This window comes from Homo sapiens, chromosome 7 (genome assembly GCF_000001405.40).
Source record: "Homo sapiens chromosome 7, GRCh38.p14 Primary Assembly".
Classification (NCBI taxonomy): Eukaryota; Metazoa; Chordata; class Mammalia; order Primates; family Hominidae; genus Homo; species Homo sapiens.
In genome coordinates this window covers 132916899-132940849 of record NC_000007.14, presented here as the reverse complement: position 1 = coordinate 132940849, position 23951 = coordinate 132916899, and the positions used below count along the sequence as shown (strand labels likewise).

The window sequence follows — 23951 nt, the reverse complement described above, 5'->3', positions numbered from 1 at the left end:
GGTAATAAAACTTGTTCAGTAAAGCCATGTACTTTCCACCTGATGCCCCATGCCTAGCTTTATTGACACCTGTCAAGGATGTCTTTCTTAACAAGCTCACTTATTTCCACCCAAGTCAATGGAATAAACTCTTAGACTGAAGTGAATAATGGAGGCTTGTGATTGTTAGAAGCCATCACAGCAGTAGTGGAAAAAATGACTGCTGAAAGCCAGACGTTGAAGGAAGAGAGAAAATATAAAAAGTAGAAACTATATTAAAGTGCTTCAGTGGTGAATATTCCTAAGGACGGCCATGGTTTATTCCTACAACAAAACCAAACCCCTGAACCGCTCCACCACTTTCAATCCAATTGCCTGTAAGGATGCAGGGAATGAAATACTCTGAGGAAAGATTTCCCTTACAGATGGCCACAAAATTTAATCAGGGATTCACAGTGTATCAAGGGATAGGCCTTGGTTATATAGAAAATGCACTTAAATGGAACACCTTATTTCCCAGGGATGCCAGATAATTGAGTTATACCTAAAATCTTGAACTGTCTGACTAGCACACATGCATACACATCTAGCTTCTGTGTGCTGAGAGGTGTTAAATGGTTTGGAAACTGTAATTAAGTAGCTGAAATTGTGCTGCAGAACCACTATAAGCATTGCCTCATGTAGTATTTCAACCTTAAGTGCTAAAATTTCATCTGAGTAGCTGTGACTAATCTAGTCTTTATTTGTAACACATTCAAATTAGGAGGTGTATGTTCTTGTCCATGTACTTTCTCATTAGCACTAATATTGCTAATGGGAGTGACAAATGTATTATGTTTTTTCCTTCGATCACTCACGCCTTTTAGATAACTAGCTTTTTAGAGGAGGTAATTTTCCTTGTGATACATTTATGGAGCTCTGTGTTTAACAGATTTACTCAAAAGAATATGTCCGTAGGGACTGTTTATTAGTTGATAGGCTCCGGGGAAAACAAGTTTGGATTAATCAGTTTGAATCACAGAAGAAATTGTGATGGCAGTTAGTGTAAATGGGAATAGCACATACTCATTTGTTCCTAAATGTCTTTCCAGCATTTTCCGCCTAGTTTATTTGAACTTGGAAGGTTCTTTCCTAGGCTGTTTACTTTGACACTTGAACACACCCTCTTCATTCTTCCTTTCCAAATTTTCGTTTGTTCAAAGGACTCCTTAATGTTTAGAGAGTCACTGAACAGTGTTTGGTACAGTCATAAATAACAAAGAAGATACATTCTGAAAAATGCATCATTGTGTGAATACTAGAGAGTGTACTTACACAACCCTAGGTGGCATCGGCTACTACACACCTAGGCTAAATAGTATAGCCTGTTGCTCCTAGGCTACAAACCTGTGTAGCAGATTCCTGTACTTAATACAATTATAACACAATGGTAACTCTTTGTGTATCTAAACATATTTATAAAGGTACAGTAAAAATATAGCATAAAAGATAAAAATGGTATACTTGTATAGGGCTCTTACCATGAATGGAGCTTGCAGGACTGGAGGTTGCTCTGGGCAAGTCAGTGAGTGATGAGTAAACATGAAGGCCTAGGACATTGTTGTATACTATTACTATAGAATTTGTAAACATTGTATACTTAAGTTATGCTAAATTAAGCTTATTTTAAATATTATGCTACAGTGCTGCAACAGCTATGAGTTACTGTGTGATAGGAAATGTTCAACTCCATTGTAATCTGGGACCACTGTCACACATGTGCTCCATCGTTGACCGAGACCAGTTTTATATGGAGTAACTATATTTAAAAGTGTAAAGCCATCTTCTTCTTTTAAAGAATACTGATTTCATTAAGGGCCAGTACATTCGGTTATTGTTTTCCCTCCACCTTCTTAGCAGGTACTGTTTCCTTGTAAGAGATCAAGAATGACACTCACCAGGGATAGACTACCTGCTGCTACCAAGTGTCCCCTGCTCCCAAACATGCACTCAACTTCACACCCAGTGGGGTCAGTGGGTTGTGTAGACCTCGCAGCCGCATCTCCTCTTGGAGCACTCTTCTCCTCATCTCCCCAGGGCTCAGAGATCTAAACGTCCTGGGAACCTTCTCCTTTCCTGTTTGCTTGTTGCCGGTGTCGGGGACACACTGCAGGTTTAAAGTGTGAGCCCAGTGGAGGAGAGCTGTCAGTTTGGACTGTGGCTTATGGGGATAGCTTTCTTGCATTCCAATTTCCATTCGATAGGCACTTTTCCTTAGACAATATTATAAGGAGTAGTTAGTTTACCTGGGTGATGTACTTTAGCTGTGTATTGAATTAAATAAGAACTTGCCTAGGCTGCCTGTGTTGATTTCCAAAATTAAATTTCAAGTGACTCTGGAACCACCCATTTCCAAGTTGTGTACTGTTTCAGTCTTTTCTTGGTGAGTTACTTAAGGTTTTTACCCCAGCTTTTGGGAATAGATGTATTACGTGTTCATTTGGGTGCAGAGGAAAGAATATTGACTTTGGAATCAAGAAACTAGACTACGAATCCTTATTCTCATTTGCCTTACTTTGAGCAAGTCATTTAACCTCAATGAGCCTTAGTATTTCCATCTGTTAAATAGGGTATGATTCATAGCTACAATATGTACCACACAACATGATTTTGAGCATTATATGGTATAATGTAGATGAAAGTGCCTTGTAAGTTGTTAGGAAGGGATGTAAATGAAAGATACAACTATGTAATATTTAATAATTAGAACAATAGCTGTGTTTGGCAGGTCTCTAAAATATCATAAATTTTCATAAGTTGTTGAAGGCATTTGCTGGGGTTTTAAAATTCCTGCCATTTTATAGAAACACTTCATGTATTATTTTTAAGTAATACAGGTTTTTAATGAATTAATTTTCTTAATGGCTGTATGTTTGTAAGTAAAACACCTTACAGTAATAAGGTACTTTGAAAAGGAAATGTCTTTTAACAAATGAAAGATCAGTTCAGTCTCTTTATGTAGCACAGGCTGAAATACCAGCCATCATATTAAATCTTAATCAGTAACAAAGTTTCACTAATTACAAGAGCTGGTTTATATATTGGGTAAATTGCTGTTTGTAAACGTTGGATTATATTAACTAACACTGCTAATTGCCAGCCACAGCCTAAGTGTAAGATTTTCTGAAAGCTTCCATTAGTAGCTTGAAGTAGGCACTGCTGCCTAATATTTCAGTCAGTGAGGAAAGGCAGGTAATGACATTATGAATACAATTATAATGCAGGCCAATTTCTTCTAAAATGCATGGAAGTATTATTACTTTACCAGGAGTCTTTGAAATATGATTTATTTAATGCATTCCAGCCCCCATAATATTAAGATATAATTGAGATGTGAAGTTTAAAAAATTGTATGCAGTCAGTATGGTACATGAATCATAGACTAAATTGCTTATAATTTTAAAGGCACTTAGGGGAATTGTGAAATTTATATAATGCATTCTTATGTTTGGAAAAGGTTATAAGAACAATAGTCCAGTTATTTTAGTATTTCAGTCCCAAAAATAGGATTTTTTGAGTTGCTATTAAACCTAAGATAGCTGTATACATGAGCAAATCCAAATCTTTCTATGTCCAGTTCTCATTCACTACTTTTTGTGAGTTTTTTCTTTAAACCTCTCATATTTATCAAAGCTGTTGAGTGGTATATAATTTCTATAAAGGCCATAATCTAGTTTTTATAAACTGTACAACTGAATGAATGACAGCAACATAAATGTTGCCAGCATGTTTAAGAAGGGAATCAGTTAAATGGTACTTGGAATTTTGATGATTATTGCTTTGAAAAGACTGAAAATCACAGGTCTTGGCTTTATAGTTTAATTACTTGCTTAACAATTGCTAGTGATTCACTAAATCACAAGGCTTCCAAACAAATAACATCAGTAACTCTGCTATGCCTGAGCAACTCCAATTTTCTTGACAATGGCTACCAAACTGTGTTTAGCCTAATATAAACTGTTAGTTTAACTGCAAGCAATGGGGGCTTCAAGCATGCTATTGATGAGATGCCAGCAAATTGAGCCCTTTGCCACTGGTGACACTTGTGTCAAGAATAACTTTAGCACGTTTTATCAAGACCAGTTGGAGAAGCAAATATAGTAATTATCCACATCCTTTTTGGATATTAGGTTTAATAATAATGAGTGCTGTCCAGCTTTCCAGAGTTTCTAATTAATAATTGGTTCTTAAGAACACAGCATGTGGTTTCTCACAGTTTGAATAAGATTGGGAAATAGGGCAAGCTTAAGGTCCTGCATACTTTTATGGGCCTGATAGAAAAGGCAGTTTAAAAGAAGAGCAAGTTGTAGGAAGACATTCAGGTGTGCTGGTGTGAAAATTTAATTTGTGCCTTTATTGACCTCTGCTCCCTGACCTTGCTGTGTCTTAACTTTGTGGCATTTCCATGAGTACACTGCTCTTCCTTCTTGCCCTTTTGCAACCGCAAGCTTTTGATTTCAAATGGACTCTTCCAGAATTAGATGAATTTCTCAGTTTTTACTTTGGTAGCAGCTACAGTCTTTTGCTCACTTGAAAATGATCTTATCCCCTGTTCTTTAGTACTTTATCATTGAAATAATGGAAAATAAGCATGTTAGACCTGCATTTAAGAGGGGACAATAATGCCTGTCATTTATCGGGTGCTTACTCATGCCGGGCACTATACTAACTCCACGTACGTTCTTAAATTGTTAAAGCATGAGGTGGTTGTATTCTTGTGCCTATGCAATGGTTAGAATGTCCCTTCTAAAACTCACATCAAAATTTAATTGCCATTGTGAGAGTGGGCCTCTCAGTGCACTCGTGAATGGATTACTGCTGTTATCTCAGGTGTAGGCAGTTGTCCAGGCAATGGTCTCCTGATGAAAGGATAAGTTTGGCCCCCATCCTCTCTCTGTTTTGTGTGCTCACTTGCTCTTCTGCCTTCTGCCAAAGGATAATGCAGCAAGAAACTCCTCACCAAATGCCAAGCAGATGCTGGCGCCATGCCCTTGGACTTTGCAACCTCCAGAACCATGAGCTAAACAAACTTCTTTTCTTTACAAATTACCCAGTCTTTGGTATTCTGTTACAGCAGCAGAAATTGACTAAACACCCTATGATAGAAAGGAAGCTTAGAAAAGTGAAGTGATTTGTCTAGAGTCACCAGTCAGTTTGGCTCCAGACTCATGCTCTGGGCTACTATGCCAAACCATCTCTTTAGTATAAATGTGTTTTCTTAGTATAATTGTGAACATTACCAGTTCAGATATAGGCACTATATGAAATATGACCCTTCTTGGTATAGATGGATATTTACAAAAATTTTAAAATTACAACCTGCAAGAATATATTTTACATCCTGACCCAGAGTACACACAGATTTTAATTCATACATAGGAAGTACTACTACTTGTGATTTATTGTTTTCTGCCTTCTTAAAGTTTCTATTTTATTGTATTTTCATATTAAAAATGCTAGTGTGATATGCTAAAATGATATAATAGTCCAATAGTAGGTAGCAACCTCCAGTCTGAAAAATCACTGAGAGTCAGTGCTGGCCTTGTAGGGTTCATGTGGCTGAGCGAAATCTGTGTTCCACTAGTTTTACTTTTGCTCATGTGCTGCCTCAGGTACTTGTACTTCTAATTTTGTTAGTTTTCTAATTTTGTGAGGCCTTGAATAGTTTTGCCAGTAGGCATTTGTGAGTGATTGGATTCTGAGGCAGGATTAATAATTTTCCTGAGGCTGTCTCTTGCCATTTCATCGTGGTCCTTTGGGGGTCCAGTGGAGTTTGGATTACACGAGTATACTCAGAACTTGTCTTTCCAGAGGCTTCCTCCCTTTTTTTATAAAGCTCTTTTATTCCAGGCATGTTCATTATGGCAACTGAAGGAAACTGAAGTACAAAAATATTATTTCTCCACTTGTATCTTTTCCATATTGTGCGGGAGATAGTATAAGAAATGTGTTATAAATAGAAATTGAGAAGATGCAGAATAGTCTCATCTTTATCATCTTGTACCCCTTGTCAGACCTACCAAAGTACTGGCTAAAAGGCTAGACTAAGGTTATTGCCCCATGTGTCTTTGCCTAGAATGAACTAGCAGTGTAGGAGCGGCATCACCTAGCGCTCTTTTGAAATAAGGTGTCCATGTCATCTCATTCAGTCCTTTTTGAGGAAGCAAACATTTGTTGAGTATCTACTCCATGATGGCCCTGTTTCAGGCTCTAGAGTTATAATGGGGAATGTGATACACAGGCCGCTGCTCTCTTGGAGTGTGTATTCTAGTGGGAAAGACGGTCATTAAATACGAAAGCAACTAGGTATATAACTATATATTTGGTTTCAGAATCAGGTAAGCATATGAAGAACAGCGATGTGGGGTCAGATGATAGAGAACTGTGGACTGCAGCATTTCCCTGCTTATCTGTGTCCCACCCCATGGATTGTGAATTTCTCTAGGATATAGAAATCCTCCAGAGATCCTCAATGTGTGAGCCCAGGACCACGATAGGATTTTCATTTGTGAAAGGCCTGTAACTCAGTGAGAGGATGTTTCAAGGAATAGAACCAAATGCGGTGTGTAGAGCAGTAGCATTGGCATCACCTGGAAACTTATCACAAGTGGGACTTTCCAGCCCATCTTGGACCTACTGAAGCAGAATCTGCAATTTAACAAGATCCCCAGGTGAATCCTTAGGCAAATCAGAAGTTTGAGAAGTTTGAGTAGTGGTTCTCAGCCTTGGCTGCTGTAGAGAAGGAGAGTTAGGTCCAGTAAGTCCCTCCCAGTGAAATGCTATTCAGCTAAACCTTTAATCTGCCAGGGTGGAAATCATCAGGTGCCCCAGCTTTATTCACTTCTGCAATACCCATTAAGTTTAGGCTGAAGGCAAGGCAACTTCTTCTGTACCTTTGACATCCACCCACAACCCAGATAGGCTACCTGAAACAAGTCCTTCACCCATTATTATTAAGAAATCCCACTGGCACACTCTGGTCCTGTATGTGTGTCCCCAGGACCTGGCACATTGTCTCTTCTTCTGCTCAGACATGAGAGCCCTTTTGCCAGTGGGCCCCTTTGCCCAGGGATTCTTTTCACCTTTCCTGTGCCTGAGTGAGTAATAAAGTTTTCTGTTATGTACTATCATTGGATCAGATGACATCTAGTTTTTTAATGGTGTTTTTTGTTAATCGAGTACATTTATGAGATTGGGGGTACCCAAGTTTGGGCTAAGTCAGACTATGGATCATCTTTAACAGAAATCTTGGTTCTCAGACATCACTCCCAACCAGTGAAATCAGCATCTCTGCAAATTGGGACCTAGTATTTTTCAAAACTCTCCAGTGATTCCAAAGGGCAGCTGAGATTCTAGAGGGAAAATCTATTTTATGTTGTTAGGGCCATAGAACATTTTAGAAGAGCCTTATGATAAAGTCTGGCTGATGTTTTGCACATAGTCATTGAAATACATACTTCTCGTGATGTGTATGGCATGCTGAGCACACCATCAGAAATCACGTGGCCCCTTCTTATAAAACTATGGCAGAACTGAGAGCAGCAGAGCAGAGTAACCAGAGTTAAATTTGAGTCACCATAATGAGATTACCATTAGATTCTGTGGAAAATGTGTTGCAACAAATATGACTCAGTTGATAAGTGCAAATTGCATTTTGCCCTTGATGCAAAATAACTGTTCTGTTTAACGTTCAGGATGTTTTTGCCTGTTGTTTTCATCTAACTCAGAACGGAGTCTGCTTAACAAATGTATGAAACTGGTCAAGACCTCGGTTTTCCATCTGAATCTGAAGGTGACCCTTGTTTAAAACTTCATACTCTGGGCGGTCTTTTTGTGTCAGCCTTGCTTTTTGCCATTTTCTTTTTCAGATGACACAAAACAGACAAGATCAGCTGGGAGCCCTTCAAAGCCAGCTCTAAATGGAATTAAAAGAAGGTATTCTGAGGCAGGAAATAGTTGTTAGATGAAGGGCCTCATGGGGAATGATTTTGAGGTCCTTAGATTTTATGAAGTTGGATAAGTCAGGGCTCTGAGTCATGGTTTAGAAGAGGAGCTCAGGTGGAAAAATTGAAAGGAGGTCTCCTCAATTTTGTAGGATGTAAAAATGAGAAAATTTAGCAAAAAAGGTTTATGTGCTAATAATGAGCCTGATTTGAAATATTGGCCTTCCAGCACTTTGATATGTGTCTATCAGTGGTCTGCCTTTGACGTGAAGGCCCTGTGTGCGGCAGCTTAACTTGTGAATCCTCACTAAAGGGGAACAGTGGGAGACGGCAGCCTCAGAGTGCATGAATGGCAGTGATTGGCTGGCAAGTTGCGTAGGCCAATAAGCAGTGCCTTCCAGGGTAAAGACCTAGGGAAGCGCCTTGTTTTTGCTTTGTCTTAGTGTCTGCATGTGTTTGACAAGTGAACAATAAAATGTGCTGTTTGATTCCACACTGTCTTGATTCTTTTCTGTGTCCCTCCTGCAATCTTTCTTTTTCATGTCACATTACATGAGGCTCTTTTCACCTCTCTCTCCTGACCCTGAGTTCTAGTGTTCATTGCTCTCTCTCACCCAGGATGTGCTCTAATTGGCAAAACTATAACCTGGTAGCAGCAGTTCACTATTTTAGTTTCCTAATTGGTGTCAGGGGCTGCTGGCAGAGCCCGGCCATGTTGGATTGATTGATAGATCAGCTGCTGTGAGTGTCAGGCTTCCATCTGACCAACAGGTTTATTGCTTTTGAAACTTAAAAATTAATATGGTAAATATATCCTGCAGTGTCCATAGTGGGTCTGAAAAAAAATAAACTATTCATCATTCAGGAGCACTTCCAATGTTACCTGAAGGTCCCTTGGGTTTGCAACTCAAAATTTTGTTCTATTTCTGACTCACAGCTGGCTGTTTTCTTGCTTTCATGATGCAGTGTAAAGCTGCATTATATTTCCCACTGCCTGCTGCACAGTGGGTTTCTTCTTTTCAGAAGTAATGCAGACAGGGTGTTAAATGTGTGTGTCGGGGTAGGGGGAGGGGAGGCAGCATCGAACCCATTCTTCCTACAGAACTTAAAATTTACAAGCTCATTTACACTGGTCAGTCAGAGTGTAGATAGTTAATGTTGAATCAGAAAAATGATATAAATTCTTTTTCAAGAGGTATTTCATTTAATTGACATTGATATTGAAGATGTAACTTAGCATTTAGGCATCTGAGTAATCATCATCGAATATAATGATTAGTTTACCCACATTAATGCCTAAAATTATACGGAAGGCTAAAAAGTACTGCATTTTAAAATCTAGTTTTAATACTTTGATTAGCGCTTTATGTTCTAGTATAAGAAAAACAATACAGTGACCTTAACGAGATCAGCTGTTACCAGTGAGCAAACCACTTTCATGTTTTTGTTGCTTCTAGTTCCTGTAGAAAAGTACTTCATCATTTATAGCAATTTTTCTTTTGTAGAAAGATAAGTTTGGGTCAATCTTCAACAAACATTGTGCAAAATGTCTTGATAACAATACTGTCTTATATTTGTTTGCATTGTACTGGTTTTCCAAATAACTTTTATGTATGTTATCTCATGTGGTCCTTAGAAAAATCCAAAGTTAATAATTATTATTTAACATTTATTGATGAGGGGAATGCGAATCAAAAAGTTCAGTAACTGGATGGAAATCACTGCTGCAACATACGTGAGTAGATCGTGACTTGATCCCTACTTGTCACTCTTGTTACTCCACTTCTGGAGTTTTTCCACAAGAGTGTGCTGCCCTCTATGTGGTGAGTGCTGTATTAGTGCTTCCGGGGTTACAAAGCAACCTCAAAACTTGAACTCTCTTGGGTCTTAAATTCTAGTTAGAAGACTGATACCTGCATATAGATAGAAGCACAAAGTGCAAAAGGGCTGAGTAATTCAGGCCCTGGAGATGGGACTGGGCCATAGGGGTGAATGAGGAGAAAACCTGGTACAATTTCTTAGAAGAGTAAGTGTCAGAGCTGCAAGGGGCATAGGGATTTGAAATGTGTCTGGCATCCATCTTGAGAGAAAAGCTGGATCGAAAAGGTATAGCGATGGGAGAACATGGGTTCTACTTTAGGATGTTGAGTAACTTAATGTTGCAAGAACTTAGGGTGCTGGGGTGAGGGAGGGCTGATAACAGGACAGGTGTGGAGGGTAGAGAACAGCCAAACTGCCTCTGGTGGAATTGTTGCTGGGCAAAAGGATAGCGGGGAAGAAAGGGCGAAATATGTTAGAAATGTGGTATAGCCTTCCAAACAAGTGGAAACACTCTGCATTCGAGGATTGTTCATGGGAATTCAAATGATGAGATTATATGTGGGAGACATTGCTGAGGTTGGAATGAAATTAAGAGTGGGGGCCAGGTGCAGTGGCTCACGCCTGTAATCCCAGCACTTTGGGAGGCTGAGGCGGGCAGATTGCCTGAGGTCAGGAGTTTGAGACCAGTCTGGCCAACATGGTGAGACCCACTCTCTACCAAAAATACAAAAAAATTAGCCGGGCATGGTGGCATGCCCCTGTAATCCCAGCTACTCGGGAGGCTGAGGCAGGGGAATTGCTTGAACCAGGGAGGTGGAGGTTGCAGTGAGCGGAGATTGCACCACTGCACTCCAGCCTGGGTAACAGAACGAGACTCCTGTCTCAAAAAAAAAAAAAAAAAAAATTAGGAGTGGGAGGTTAAGAAGGAGGAAGTGAGTTAGGCAACACCATAAAGCTTACTCCGGCTTGAAGACTGATAAGAATCACATTTCTGTTTAAGATTTCTGTCACTTAGGTTTATTTTGAACCAGCAAACAAGCAATTCCAAGGGTATGTAATGAGTTAAGGACCCAAGTGACTGGATAAGGCTTTCTCTTGCCTTAGTTTCTCACAGAGTAAATCCAAAATTCTGTTGTCATTACAGCCATCATGCAGGAAATAATATGCCATATTCGTGGCAATCAGAACCATAGGTTCTGTGACTTTCATATGTTAAGCTGAGGAAAGACGCCTCTCAGCTCTCAAGCATCTACCCCTTTACCATAAAGGAAAGCTTCCTGTGCCCACTCATGAATTCTCTTCCTGTCTCTCTGGGCCCACCATAGCCCTGGTCATGGAGTATGGCAAGAAGTAAAAGATGACTGCAGTGTGGAGCTCAGTGACTAGCAAGATATTGACAGCTTTAGATTGGGTTAAGGACAAGTTATGTTTCATATTGCTGTGTTTGAGGTCCCTTCAGGATATTCTTGTAGCTGTGTTCATTAAATAAGTTGGAAACATATGTCTGGAACTAGGGAGAGCAGCCAGGAATAGAGAGAGTTATGGGAATCCTTCTCAAAGAGATGAAGCTCTGGGAATGGGTGAGATTGCCAAGAAATAGTATGTGGAGAGAAGAAAGAAGACAAGGGCAGAATTTTGGAGAATACTTACCTGTAAGCAGCAGGCTGAGAAAGAGTTGCATGGGAGACTATGCAGGAGCCATCTGCAAGGCAGATGGAGGATGAACCATGAGTGTTCAAGCAGCCAACAAAAGAGAGAGAGAGAGAGTCAAGAAGTGAGGGATCCGTCAGAGGTGAAGTTTCCAGAGACAGCCAGTGAAATGAGCCTCAGTGAGAAACTGGTTGAACCATCAGTTGCTATCATTTGTAACATACATAATAAAAAATAGTGTTGAAATCAGAACCCAGGTTTCAGGTGGTTAAAAAAGAGGAAAAGGGAAAAGCCAGGATAGTTATTATTCTATGAAGATTTTAAGCTTTGAAAGAAAGGTGATAAAGATTATGTACCTTGAAGAAGTAGTTTTTTTGGGTGGTTTTCCTTAAAGGTATTAATATGTTTGAGAGTCGAGGGAAAGAAGCCAATGGCAAGAGAAGGATAAAAAATGTAAGAAAGAGGTGATAATAAGTTGATGGAGCAAAATCTCAGGATTTGAGGAGGGAGTAGGTTCGAGGGTAGAAATAGTCCTTGGAAAGAGAAGGAGAACCCTGCTTCAGGGTAAGAGACGGAGAAAAGCAAGGATGACCTGAGCAAATTTAAAAGGGAGGGAGGATTCCTCCTGAATGGCCTCCATTTTCTCAATTAAGGGATTTATTGATATTTTGTATCCTTCTACGTTAATGCTGAGTCTATTTATTTTATTTTATTTTATTTTTTGATGGAGTCTTGCTCTGTTGCTCTGGCTGGAGTGCAGTGGCATGAACTAGGCTCACTGCAACCTCCGCCTCCCAGGTTCAAGTGATTCTCCTGCTTCAGCCTCTCCAGTAGCTGGGATTACAGGCATGCACCACCATGCCTGGCTAATTTTTGTATATTTAGTAGAGATGGGGTTTCACTATGTTGGCCAGGCTGGTCTTGAACTCCTGACCTCAGGTGATCCACCCACCTTGGCCTCCCGAAGTGCTGGGATTACAGGCGTTAGCCACCACACCTGGCCCCATTTATTCTTTAGAGTAGGAGGCTAAGACAGCCCAAGGGGTACACAGTCAGATAAGACACTTGTGATGCAATTCTATTCCAGTGTCCTGAGAAGTGCATCTTCATTGCTAATCAGATATTGATATTGCTTCCCTAAGTTAATTGGCCCCTTCCTGGCACATCTTTCCTAACTTCAGCGTTCACCCAGGCCTCATAGAATTCTTTCACTTTTTATCCTTTATCCATGATGTCACTCTCTTCATGTTACAAGTCTTGGCTGGCCTGTCCCCTTCCTCATTCTGACTAGGAAGATGGGATTCCCTCTGAATCAGGCCTGGACTCCAGCCTCCAACTAGAGTCCCCAGCCTACTCTTTAGCTGGGGTTTAGTGGACTCTCTTCTGGAACCTGGCTCGGTTCTGTGCCTCGATGAGAGAAGGAGGCTTGGGTTGCCTTATGGGGCCTATTTCACAACTATATAAATCAATTTTTTTTGTATGAATAAATGAATATGTTAGGAGATCCTTCAGGGTAAAGATGTCTTTAGGAGTAGGTTGAGATACTTCACAGGTAAGATGGTCCCTTTTAAAAAATTAAAAGGAAGTCTTAAAGACGTCTGACAGATTTGTTTTCTGTAAGGTTAGTTTTTTCTTGCTGAAACCTACTTATGAGTCCTAAGATTGTGTTCCTCCAGTGCTTATGAAATCTGTTCTGACTTTCTGACAGTGGAAATGGACATCTAGTTCCAAGAATAGGCTTAAATTAAAGATTGTCAATTTTAAACAGTTTAATAGATATGTAAGGAATGGAGCTATTTTAACAGCGTCTTTCATTTTTTGAAAAATAACACATGCTTTAGAAATTCAAGCTGTTTTTAACCAATCGCTTCCATCTAACTTAACAGCAGCTGTTGCACACTATTATAAAAGGCCTGGGCGAGATACAGTGTTGAAAACTTGGTGAGTCTGAGATTTGTTACATATTTTATCAAGTTACCTGCTGTCCCTGCATTTACAGATATGCTAGATTGTTTGATGTCTACTTTTCTGGATGAGGAGCAGATGTGGTTGACGGCTGTTAAGTTAGGAATGCATGCAGAGGTTCCCGAGACTTGGTGTGTATATTCAAAGAACAGGGACTTTCTCATTTAGCTTCTTTGTGCCTAATAAACACAGCTAAGGAAGGAATCAGAAGCATTAGTAGTTTGTAGAACATTTATGGTTTTCAGTGAAACCACTTTCTATACTGCATTTTGGGCAATGAGCTAATATGTATTGTATGGGCTTGTTACAGTGGGCTCTTAACTGTTTGTGGGTCTAATCTGGGGGCATGGGTTTATATGTAATCTTTATGAAGACATTGCAATAGCCTGTGCTCCCTAAAGTTCCCTCAGACTTTGAATTCTAATCATAGCTGTATTCCATAATAGAGAGCTGCTTATAAAAAGACATCTCAGTAGAGATTCTTGGTAAACAGGATGGATTCTGATGTTTTGTTAAAACGAAAATACCTATGCAGTTACCCCTCTGTATCCATGGGTTTTGCATTTTTAAATTCACCCATCCATGGATTAAAAATATTTGGAAAAAAAAACAACAATACAACAACAAAAAATACACATTAAAAACAATACAATGTAGTAGTTATTTACATAGCATTTACATTGTGTTAGATAGAAGTAATCTAGAAATGATTTAAAGTATGTGGGAAGATGTGCCTAGGTTATATACAAATATGATGCCATTTTACATGAGGGACTTGAGCATCTGTGGACTTTGGTATCTGAAGGGGGTCCTGGAACCAATCCTCTGCAGATACCAGGGGATGACTATATATCAAAAGTGCAGCTTACAGAATGCAAATATGTACATTATCTCATTTGCGCCTCACAAATTCCTTTTACGGATAGAATACTTCCTTTTCAGTCTCTAGACTCTCCATGTGCAGTCTCGTCCACACCCAACAGGCCATCAGATCTCAGCCATCAGATATAAACCAGCAGCTCCAGGATCTATATTCTAATGCTGTACTTTTCAACATGTAACTCTGAACTAGTCTTCCCTTCCCACTGTCAGCTTCTTCAGAAACTGGTGTTCTCTTTCTCAGTGATTGAGACTGCCATCTCTGTCCGAAATCTAGCTATTCTCCTTGCTACCCCTCTACCCCTTTCCAAACTCTACTGATACCAGTAACTTATAAGTTGGGATTCCAAACTTGCTGTCTTGGACATTGTTCTGGCCTTCATTTGGCCTGTACTGCTTCAAGCATATCCCAACTAGTCTACTTGCCTCTGTGTTCCACATTGCCTCTGGAATGGTGTATCTGATTCCTATGCAAGAAACTCCGTAGTGGCTTGCCATGGTCTACAGCTAAATCTGGCACTTCAGAATGGTAGATGGCTCATCCTCATAGTCTGCCTTGCTTGCTTTTGCTACTTCATCTCTGGCCATTTTTCTAAGTGCAGCTTGGACTTCACCTCCCTGAACCATTGGTAGGTGCTGAACCTACTATAGTATTTCAGGCTGCCATCCCTCCATGCTTTAATACCTTTCCTTGTGAATATACATTTGCATTTTCCCCCATCCCCAACTCGTTTTTGAGGCTCATCTTTTGGAAACGTTTTCGTTATGAAGTTTGTTGTTGCTCTGTGTTTGTGCTCCACTTCTCTAGTGGTCAGTAAGCTCTTAGAGGACAAGTACGATGTGGTATTCCTCTCTTTTTCTAGCTGGGATATATACTTGTGTTATAGCTGGGGTATATACGTGTGCGGTGAGTGCTTGCTGAAGATCGTACAGATATGAGTCTGCACAAATATTAATTAAATAACCAAATGTAAGTAACAGAAACTAAATAAAAACCTTACATTACTGTCCTGAAGGTGTAACTTGGGGATGAAGTGGGGATGGGGACCCGTGTCCCGTGTAAATAAAGCATTTAATTAAGTGCAATTTTAACATTTAAAGTTGGCACCTGGACAAATTTTTACTCCCAACATTTACATCTTAAAAAGTAGTAAACTTTGCTGGAAAGTGGTAGTGAAATTTCTGTCATTTTGAAATAAATACCAGAGTCACAGTAGTACCAGGTTAATGCATGATGTTTCAGTGGCTTGTACTTGCAGCTTTGCACTATAATCAGGTTCTTTTAAAATTAGTCTTACTTAAATGAGAAACTGTCTCCCTCCTTTTTTTTTCTTTTTTTTAAAATAAGAGCCTCTCCCTTTTCTAATGGGGACAGCATCCTTTTCTTCTACCATTTCTCCCATTCCTACTCCATTATTGGTATTATCTCATAAGGATTGTTTTGTGTTTTGAGAATTTATTTTTTCCTCAAAGCTCCCTCACCTATTTCCTCCAAACAGACAGAATTCAAAGAAAGAATAGCCCTTCTTTCATCCATTATAAATGATTTTTCATTTGAGCATGTCATTTTGCTTTTTTGTTCCAATGGAGATCAAAGGGATACAGGTTCACCCCCAGTGTTCAGCAGTTCTTTTCAGTTCTGGACCTTAAAGAAATGGGATCTGGTTGAATTTGTTGCAGACTTAGATCTCTCTCCAGGCATGTGGCACTCAGATGCTGGGTGTTGCTGCATGCCGAGTGCTGTATGTGTACGTGTGTTTTAAGACGGTGAAAGAGCTGGAAATTTGGTGTTTCATACATTTTGATGCATGTGCCAAAGATACACATCTTAAAGGAATATATTTGTGTTGAAATATTACTTGTTTCTATTTAAGCTAAGTGGGGAGTCCTTTAAAGATCTCTATCTAAGAATATCTGCTCCACAGTTTGAACTCTGGCATCATGAAAATTTTGAATGAATATTCTATAGTTGCTAGGCTTTACAAAAAAGAGGTTTAAAAAATATTTTACTTCTTTACTATGACCAGAACCAGTGAGACCCTTTTAAATGAACTCTAGGTGGTTTATAGTCTCAATTTCAAGTCGTGGTAGGGCAAGATGAGGAGAGATTAATTTTTACCTATACTTAAAACCAAGAATAATGAATTGGACTTTAACTGTGAGACACTGACACATTAATAAATTAAAAATAATCGAGCTTTTTTTAAATACCCTGCTTTGTACTTCATTCTGTGATTTATGTATGTGTGTCATACTATTATTGTGAGACTAGTGTGAGATGTTAGGCCAAAACTGTACCACTACTGTTTGATTATTATTAGTCTTCAAAATTTCCATAAGATGCATTTCATATTTCACTATGCAGTCCTTTCTCATTCCTAGTCTCATCATTGTCACCTAATCTTACCCTTCTGACTGATCTTACTCTCATGGAAATGCCAAAATTTCTTTTGCCTCCTATTCCTTATTTCTCCAGCTGTGGTCAAAGTCCCATTTTTCTTCTAGTTGAATTGAATGGCTACTCCAAGATTTATAAGACAAATGTTATTCTTATTGTTCTGATGAATTGCATAGTTTATTACTGTTGTCTACAAAGGAATGTAATATTCTCTAAAAATCTAAGACTCCATTCACTTATTGCATAGAGCTAATAAATTAAACAATTCATCTATGTGTTAATTTTTGTGCTTAATCTTTCTCATTCCTTCTCTAAATCAAGTTGAACTTCCATGTATCTGTTTCTTTTTAATGTTAGGATAGCAAAGTGTTTACATAAGGATTTTAGGGACTAAAGACCAAAAATATTTCTGGCTGCTGGGAAATCAGATTGGTGGTGGGGTCTATCTTCAAGTTTATTTCCCATTGACAAGGCATATTTGAAAAAATATGTTTATTTGGATTAAGAACTTGGGTTCTGATTTGTTGTACTATTTTATATGTAATTTTATGGCTGAGGATCTGAACGTACATTAGAACCCTCATGTAAACTCTCAGGTTTATAAACTGATACCCCTGTTGCTATGAATTTTTTTGAAAAAATCTTATTCAACGTAACTACTATATTCCAGCTGGTTGTACGTCCCAAAAGTCTGGTCATTGTATAAATGGAATTATTTTTATTTTCTTCCCTCTGAATATTTGGCATATTTACTTTTATCTATGTCTAATCTTATCTCTTATCCATATGGAAAGGCGAGTTTGAAGTGTCCAGTCACACAAATCTGTCTGTCTATAAATAGACAGCCATACTTTATCCAACTGTGCTGAAACACATAGACATTTAAAACCAAATGAAATATCAACCCAACTTTCGGAAAAGGACTATTCATGTCCTTTTTGAATCTAAATTAAAAAATTATTAGAAGGGCCTATTGGTGCATTTGAATTTTGATCAATTTTGGTTTGAATTTTCAGTCAAGTTTATTGTGACATTGTTGGGACAATATCTGTTGTGACATATATTTGAAAGGTGTATGCTTTGTGCCTATAAGAGCAAGACAATATTCTGATTGTCTTGAATTCCTATTCTAAGTGACTGTTTCATTCTGGTGTTCCTTCTTGGCCGTTTTCAGATCCTGCATGTTGGGGAATGAGTAGGTTTTTCACATGATGATTGTACATGTAAGTTTTAATGCTCAGCACAATCATGGATGGATAGGTTTGATGAATCAACATCATTTGGAATGAAGTTTCCTCATTATTGGCCAAGGGTTGTGATTTAGAAAAGTAAGAAGTAGTTGCTTTGCTGGTAGGTTGCCCCATACTTGAAATACAGGGTAGCTATTTGTAAGTAAACGTAAGACAAGGTTGGGAGTCTTAACTGTGGCTAAACCCTGAGAGTGAATAAAACTATATAAAAATTGATTAACACACTTGGATTATGAAGTCAAATAATCAGAATAGTTTCTTGCCCAAGTGGGAAATATGACTTACGCCTTTCAAAGCCACAATGGACATTTTGATCAAAGTTTATCAGTAGTATCTGCTAGTAAGTTTGCTTAAAAAAAAAAAAAGTATAGAGAGGAAGAGAAGCAGGGATATAATATTGAGGCCTCTTTTAATGAGTAGGCAGAATATGGGAATGGACCTGGCCTGGACTCACATGAGTGAGTTGCATTGCAGTGGGATACTGGCAGTTTTTAAAACTCTGGTGTTCTATTTGATGTTTGGAAATGGTGAACTGAGTACTGATGATTAATGAGCACAGGGATTAGTGGTGATATTAGTAATTTTGCTTGGCACAGGTCACATTTAATGCCTATGAACAGATTTTTGAGGCAGGAGAGGTTTGGTCAACCCCCTTCTTCCTTCTTAAGGGTCCAGTGCTTGTGCTGTACCCGCCCTTTGTCTTCATGTCTACCCACAGGTCTCAGGCAGCTTCCCAGGCACACCCATGCTTACCTGAAGCCATTGCCTCCTTTTCCACGTCCTACCTCCTGCCTACCAAGCTGGGAACAGTTTTTTTCCTTTACTCTGTCCATTTCTCTTTGTGAGCTTAAGAAAGCTGGTCAAGTCTAGCTCAGCTATACATCACATCAAGGAAAAGCTGTAGAAGTGAGGCAGCTCTTCTCTGCACTTCTTATGGACTGTTTCTAGCCGTGAATCCTTGGGTAGTCATTTGCTCTTGTTAAGTCTTTCTTTCCTCCTCTGAATAGAGATGTGGCGTAAAGGGAAGGATTTCTCAAGTCCTCTGAAAATATAAATTCTTTGTCTGTGGAAATCATAAGATCTGTAGGGAAATTAGACTTCTCACCAACCCAGTGTCATCATCCTCTGAGACGTGGTGATAAGAAGTGCCCTTCAGGCTTTGCAGGCTGCCTTAGGACCATTTTCTAATGGAAAAATGCATTCAGAATTCCAAACACTTGCCTTAGAATTTAATCCTCAGAAAATGACTTAATCCTTTTTTGTGTTTTGTTGTTGTTGTTGTTGTTGTTGTTGTTGTGTGTGTCATATATTTCTGTTTTGTATTTAATAAAGGTCTCAAGCTCTTCTTTATTTCAGTATATTTACCTATCAATTGGGATTGTTGATACCTCCTTCAAATAAATATTGGGTTTATTTACTGTTTACTTTTAGGATGAGCCTAATATGCAGAGACTTGCAGATTATTAATCTTATTACTTTGAAAAAGAACTGTTTCAAGGGGTGAATACTGAAACTTGTCCCAGTACTTGGAATTTTCTTGCTTTTATTACATTTCCTAAATGAAATTTCAGAGCCTGGAGGAAAGTAGTGGTGTAAGTATATTTCAAGTATATATAATTGGTTTGAATTCTTTGGTAGAGAGAAATTTATAAAATTATAGTATCATTATGAGTGTAGTTTAACTTTTTGCTTAATGTATATATAGACCCTCAAATCTTTTTTAAATTGGAGCCATAATTTACTCAAATATAATAAAAGAGCGAAAATATTGTTCAGTTTACATATATCAGTGTTTTCCTTCTCTTGTTCTATACTTAATGATATTCCATGGGTTTTGCTTCTTCCTGGTGGTGATTTATCTTGAGGAAATGGGGCATGATAGCTGGAAAATAACCTCTATCAATTGCCATTTTATCCAAAGCAATGCCCGTTACTGTACTCCTTCCCCAGCCAGTACTGGAGGTAAGTGGACAGAAAATAAGTGATGTTTAGAATTATCAACAAAGAAGCCGAGCTGTCTCAGCATGTAAGGTTTGCTGTTTTCATTACAAATTATAAGGCCAGGTTTTTTTTTTTTAAGGCAGTCTGTAGATAGTTTTTTTCTTTGATCTGAGACTACTTAAAAAATACAGATGCATATAAACAATACAACAATTAAGTGAACAATGATTACATGCTTATTTTGAGGCATAGCAAGCCTATGATTCTAAGTGAAGTACCAAGCACCTGAACTTGTATTGGATGGGCCATTTGTTTACTTGCTTCTAAAACACACAAAAGCATTCTGTCAGCATCTGGAACCTTCATGACCATTTTTGCTTTTTCATGACGACAGAGTAAACAAATAAACAACAATAAATAAAACAAGTTGAGACAGTATTTGTCTTGTGTGTGTTCGGTCATTCAGCGAATGAATAGTGTATTTAAATCATCTGTTTCTCTGATTTTTGGGGGACTTGCATGTCAGATAAGCATCTCCTTTGTATTGCTATTTATTTTCTTCCCCAAAGTGTTAGGAAGGCCAGGTTTTCTAGTTTTGTTTGTTTGTTTAAGCACCATATTCTCTATTAGAGCAGGGGCCAGCAAACTTTTTCTGTAAAGGGCCAGGTAGTAAATATTTTAGGCTTTGCCTGCCATAGGTTCTCTTGCAATTCTTATCTCTGTCATTGTAGCGTGAAAGTAGCGACAGAAAATGAGTAATGAATGGATGGGTTTTGTTCCGATAAAACTTTATTTCCAAAAGGCAAGATTTGGGCCATAGTTTGTTGATGCCAGCATTAGAGTGACAATTCTTGTTCTTTGTGTATTCATTTATACAGCCCTGCTCCATGGACTACTCATGTTATAATAAAGGGATAGAGAAGGGCATGATGACGATGTGCGTTCCCAGTGTGCTAGCTGTGGCTCTACCCCTTTTTCTCTCACTTAAGAAAACTTCCCAGAAACCCGAGAAGTGAGAGCATTTTCCCCCAGGGAAAACCTTGAATTGTGTAACATGTAAATCCATGGGAATCTTCAGCACTTTATTATTAGCATCAGATTTTTTGTCAGACTCCTCACAGCTGTCCAACATACACCAACTTGTAGCTATATGGTCTTTTAGAAGTGGTGTTAGAGGGCTAGTCATTTGGAGTTAACGGTTTGGGTCCCAAGGAGCACAGTCGCCAAAGCTGAAGCAAGACAAGACATCTTTGCTCATCCAGTAGTGTATCATGGGCCACTCAAAGCTTAGTGTGCACGAAAGACTCTCATTTGTTGTTTATAGAGGCGTGTGACTAAACTGAGCCCAACAGCAGTATGCCTTGTGTTTCATATTCTTAGATCTTTTCCTGTCTCTATCTCTTGCAAGTTAGAATTACTACAGATGTTGAAAACATTTGACTGGATTTAGCCAAGTTGAAAGTATATTTTATAATATTTTGGTGAGGGAGTTAGATCAACTTGTCGTAGATTACTATTTGGTCAAGGAAAGGCAGACAATTTATGTGGGGTCTTCTAAGAATAAACCCAACTATGGCCGGGCACAGTGGCTCACGCCTGTAATCCCAGCACTTTGGGAGGCCGAGGCGGGCGGATCACGAGGTCAGGAGATTGAGACCATCCTGGTTAACACGATGAAACCCCGTCTCTACTAACAAAAATACAAAAAATTAGCCAGGCATGCTGGCGGGCGCCTGTAGTCCCAGCTACTTGGGAAGCTGAGGCAGGAGAATGGTGTGAACCCGGGAGGCGGAGCTTGCAGTGAGCCGAGATCGCGCCACTGCACTCCAGCCTGGGCGACAGAGCAAGACTCCGTCTCAAAAAAAAAAAAAAAAAAAAAAAAAAGAATAAACCCAACTATATAGGATTAGAGTAAAATTAATGATGATGATGATTCAGATACAGTATAAGCTCTTATCTGACCTTCACAGAATCTACCTCGTGGAGAAAACAGCTTCCCATTCCCTCATAAGACTTGCTTTGCAGTGTCCATGGCACATTGATGCTCATCACTGGTAGACTTTCTGACACTCCTGTGCGTTTCTTATCTGTTAAGTCAGCTGCTTACCAAGTCAGTTGTGCTTGCTTATTCACCTATTTGCCAGTAGTTTCTATTACATAATTTTATTAAGTGCCATGTCAGCTGTAGCTGTTTCTATGAAAAATAAGAGGAATGCTTTGGGAAGACTTGTAAAGGTGATCTACTTAAAAACTTGCTCTTGAATTAGGTATAGGCAAGAGGACTGTGGAGGATTAGGGGGAAATCTAGAAGGGTTCTGCACTCAGATTGAGTCTTTTAAGTCTTTTAGTTCTCACTGACCTTTAAAGAAAACAGTTGAAAATGTAGATAATCTGCAGAGAACTCAGCAGAACCATACTGGAGGAAAAGGGCTGATACTCATGTGAGACAATTGGGAAATAATTTGTTACTTAGATATGTTATTGCAACTTTATTGTGAAGTACATACATATCTTTTTAATTGTTTTTCACTTACTGGTCTCGATTGTATCTGAGTGTTTCACAAATGTGTCACGCACTGTGCCAGGGCTTTACCCAAACTCTCTTATTTAATTCTCCCAGCAGCCCATTGAGGAGGGTCCGATGGTTAGCTTCATTTTACTGATGGGGAATCTAAAGCCTGGGTAGCCCATGAAGTCTTCCCATGGTCCTAAAGCAAATAAATGCTAGATCTGAGATTCAGTTTCCTTCTCTCCCTAATTATATCATCCCCCTGCCAGCAGCCAACTCAAGGCTTTTCAATGCTATAGATTTTTTTGAATACAGTGGTAGGTGAGATCTTAACTCATTATGAATCACTAAGCCAGTCTTTATTAGAATCAAACCTGGGGGTTGTCACAGAATGAATTAGCTTTAGTTTAGTGCAGAGAATATAGACAAAATGACTTAAATCTTCACCGTGTTGTCCCTATGTCTTTTCTTTGCTGCGTTCTGATCTTTTCTCTTTTGTTTGCTCACATACCTGCTTGGAATGGATATATTGTTTTTACCTCTTAAACATGCTTTTATGTATATAATTTGATGCTCAAAAGATGAGTAATAGGAAAGGTTTTTTTTTTTTTTTTTTTGAGATGGAGTCTCACTCTGTCACCCAGGCTGGAGGGCAGTGGCGCGATCTTTGCTCACTGCAAGCTCCGCCTCCCGAGTTCACGTCATTCTCCTGCCTCAGCCTCCCGAGTAACTGGGACTACAGGCGCCCGCCAACACACCCGGCTAATTTTTTGTATTTTTAGTAGAGACGGGGGTTTCACCGTGTTAACCAGGATGGTCTCGATCTCCTGACCTCGTGATCTGCCCGCCTCAGCCTCTCAAAGTGCCGAGATTACAGGCGTGAGCCACCTGGCACCCAGCCTAGGGCAGGTATTTTTAGGTCCATTTTTTTAGGTGAAGAAACTAAGGTTCAAAAATTAAAATGAACCACAAGAGTTTAGAGTTTAAATATATAGGAAAGATCCACATTGCAGTTGAAAAGTTGAATAAAGAAATGTTTGGCTGTATAATACAGATACTTAGTTAAAAGAGGAGAGGGTTGAGGGGATCACTTTTTCCTACTATGTGCAGAAGTATGATATAGAGGATTACGACTGGCTCTTTTCTAGTTATGTCTGAGTATGGGATTAATTTTTTTTTTTGTAAGAATTCAATTTCAGCAGGGGGGATTTAGTTTAAAGATGGAAACTAGTTCCCCCTTAGATGGAAAGTCTGTTGTTTAATCTTTTTCCATAGGGTTGTATATAACAGTTTTAGATTCTGTCCAGATTCAAAATAATAAACTAGACAGCAGGGTCCAAAGTTCTGCCATTATATCTAATGATTGTAATTTTTAAAAACAACAATGCAGTCATAAACTTGGATTCAGTCTGTAACATTTGCATGCACTCAGACTTTATTATAAATGCAGTAATCTTCCCTTACCCACTGAGGATTCCTTCCAAGACCCCCCTGTGGATGCCTGAAATGCAGATGGTACCAAACCCTATATGTATAACTTTTTTTCTCCATACATACATACTGTGATAAATTTTAAT

General features: G+C 39.0%; 1 protein-coding gene across 4 annotated transcripts in view, besides 1 other annotated feature; it reads left to right on the top strand.

The window, feature by feature from the left end:
* Positions 1 to 23951, top strand: part of CHCHD3 (coiled-coil-helix-coiled-coil-helix domain containing 3) — a 297221-nt gene that overhangs the window by 141241 nt on the left and 132029 nt on the right. The gene's annotated exons all lie outside the window — the stretch shown is intronic.
* Positions 9647 to 9941: an enhancer, noted in NCBI's record as "tiled region #15449; HepG2 Activating non-DNase unmatched - State 13:Ctcf". NCBI's record gives its function as "activates a minimal TATA promoter and a strong SV40 promoter by Sharpr-MPRA in HepG2 cells {active_cell/tissue: HepG2}" and the evidence as "EXISTENCE:reporter gene assay evidence [ECO:0000049][PMID:27701403]".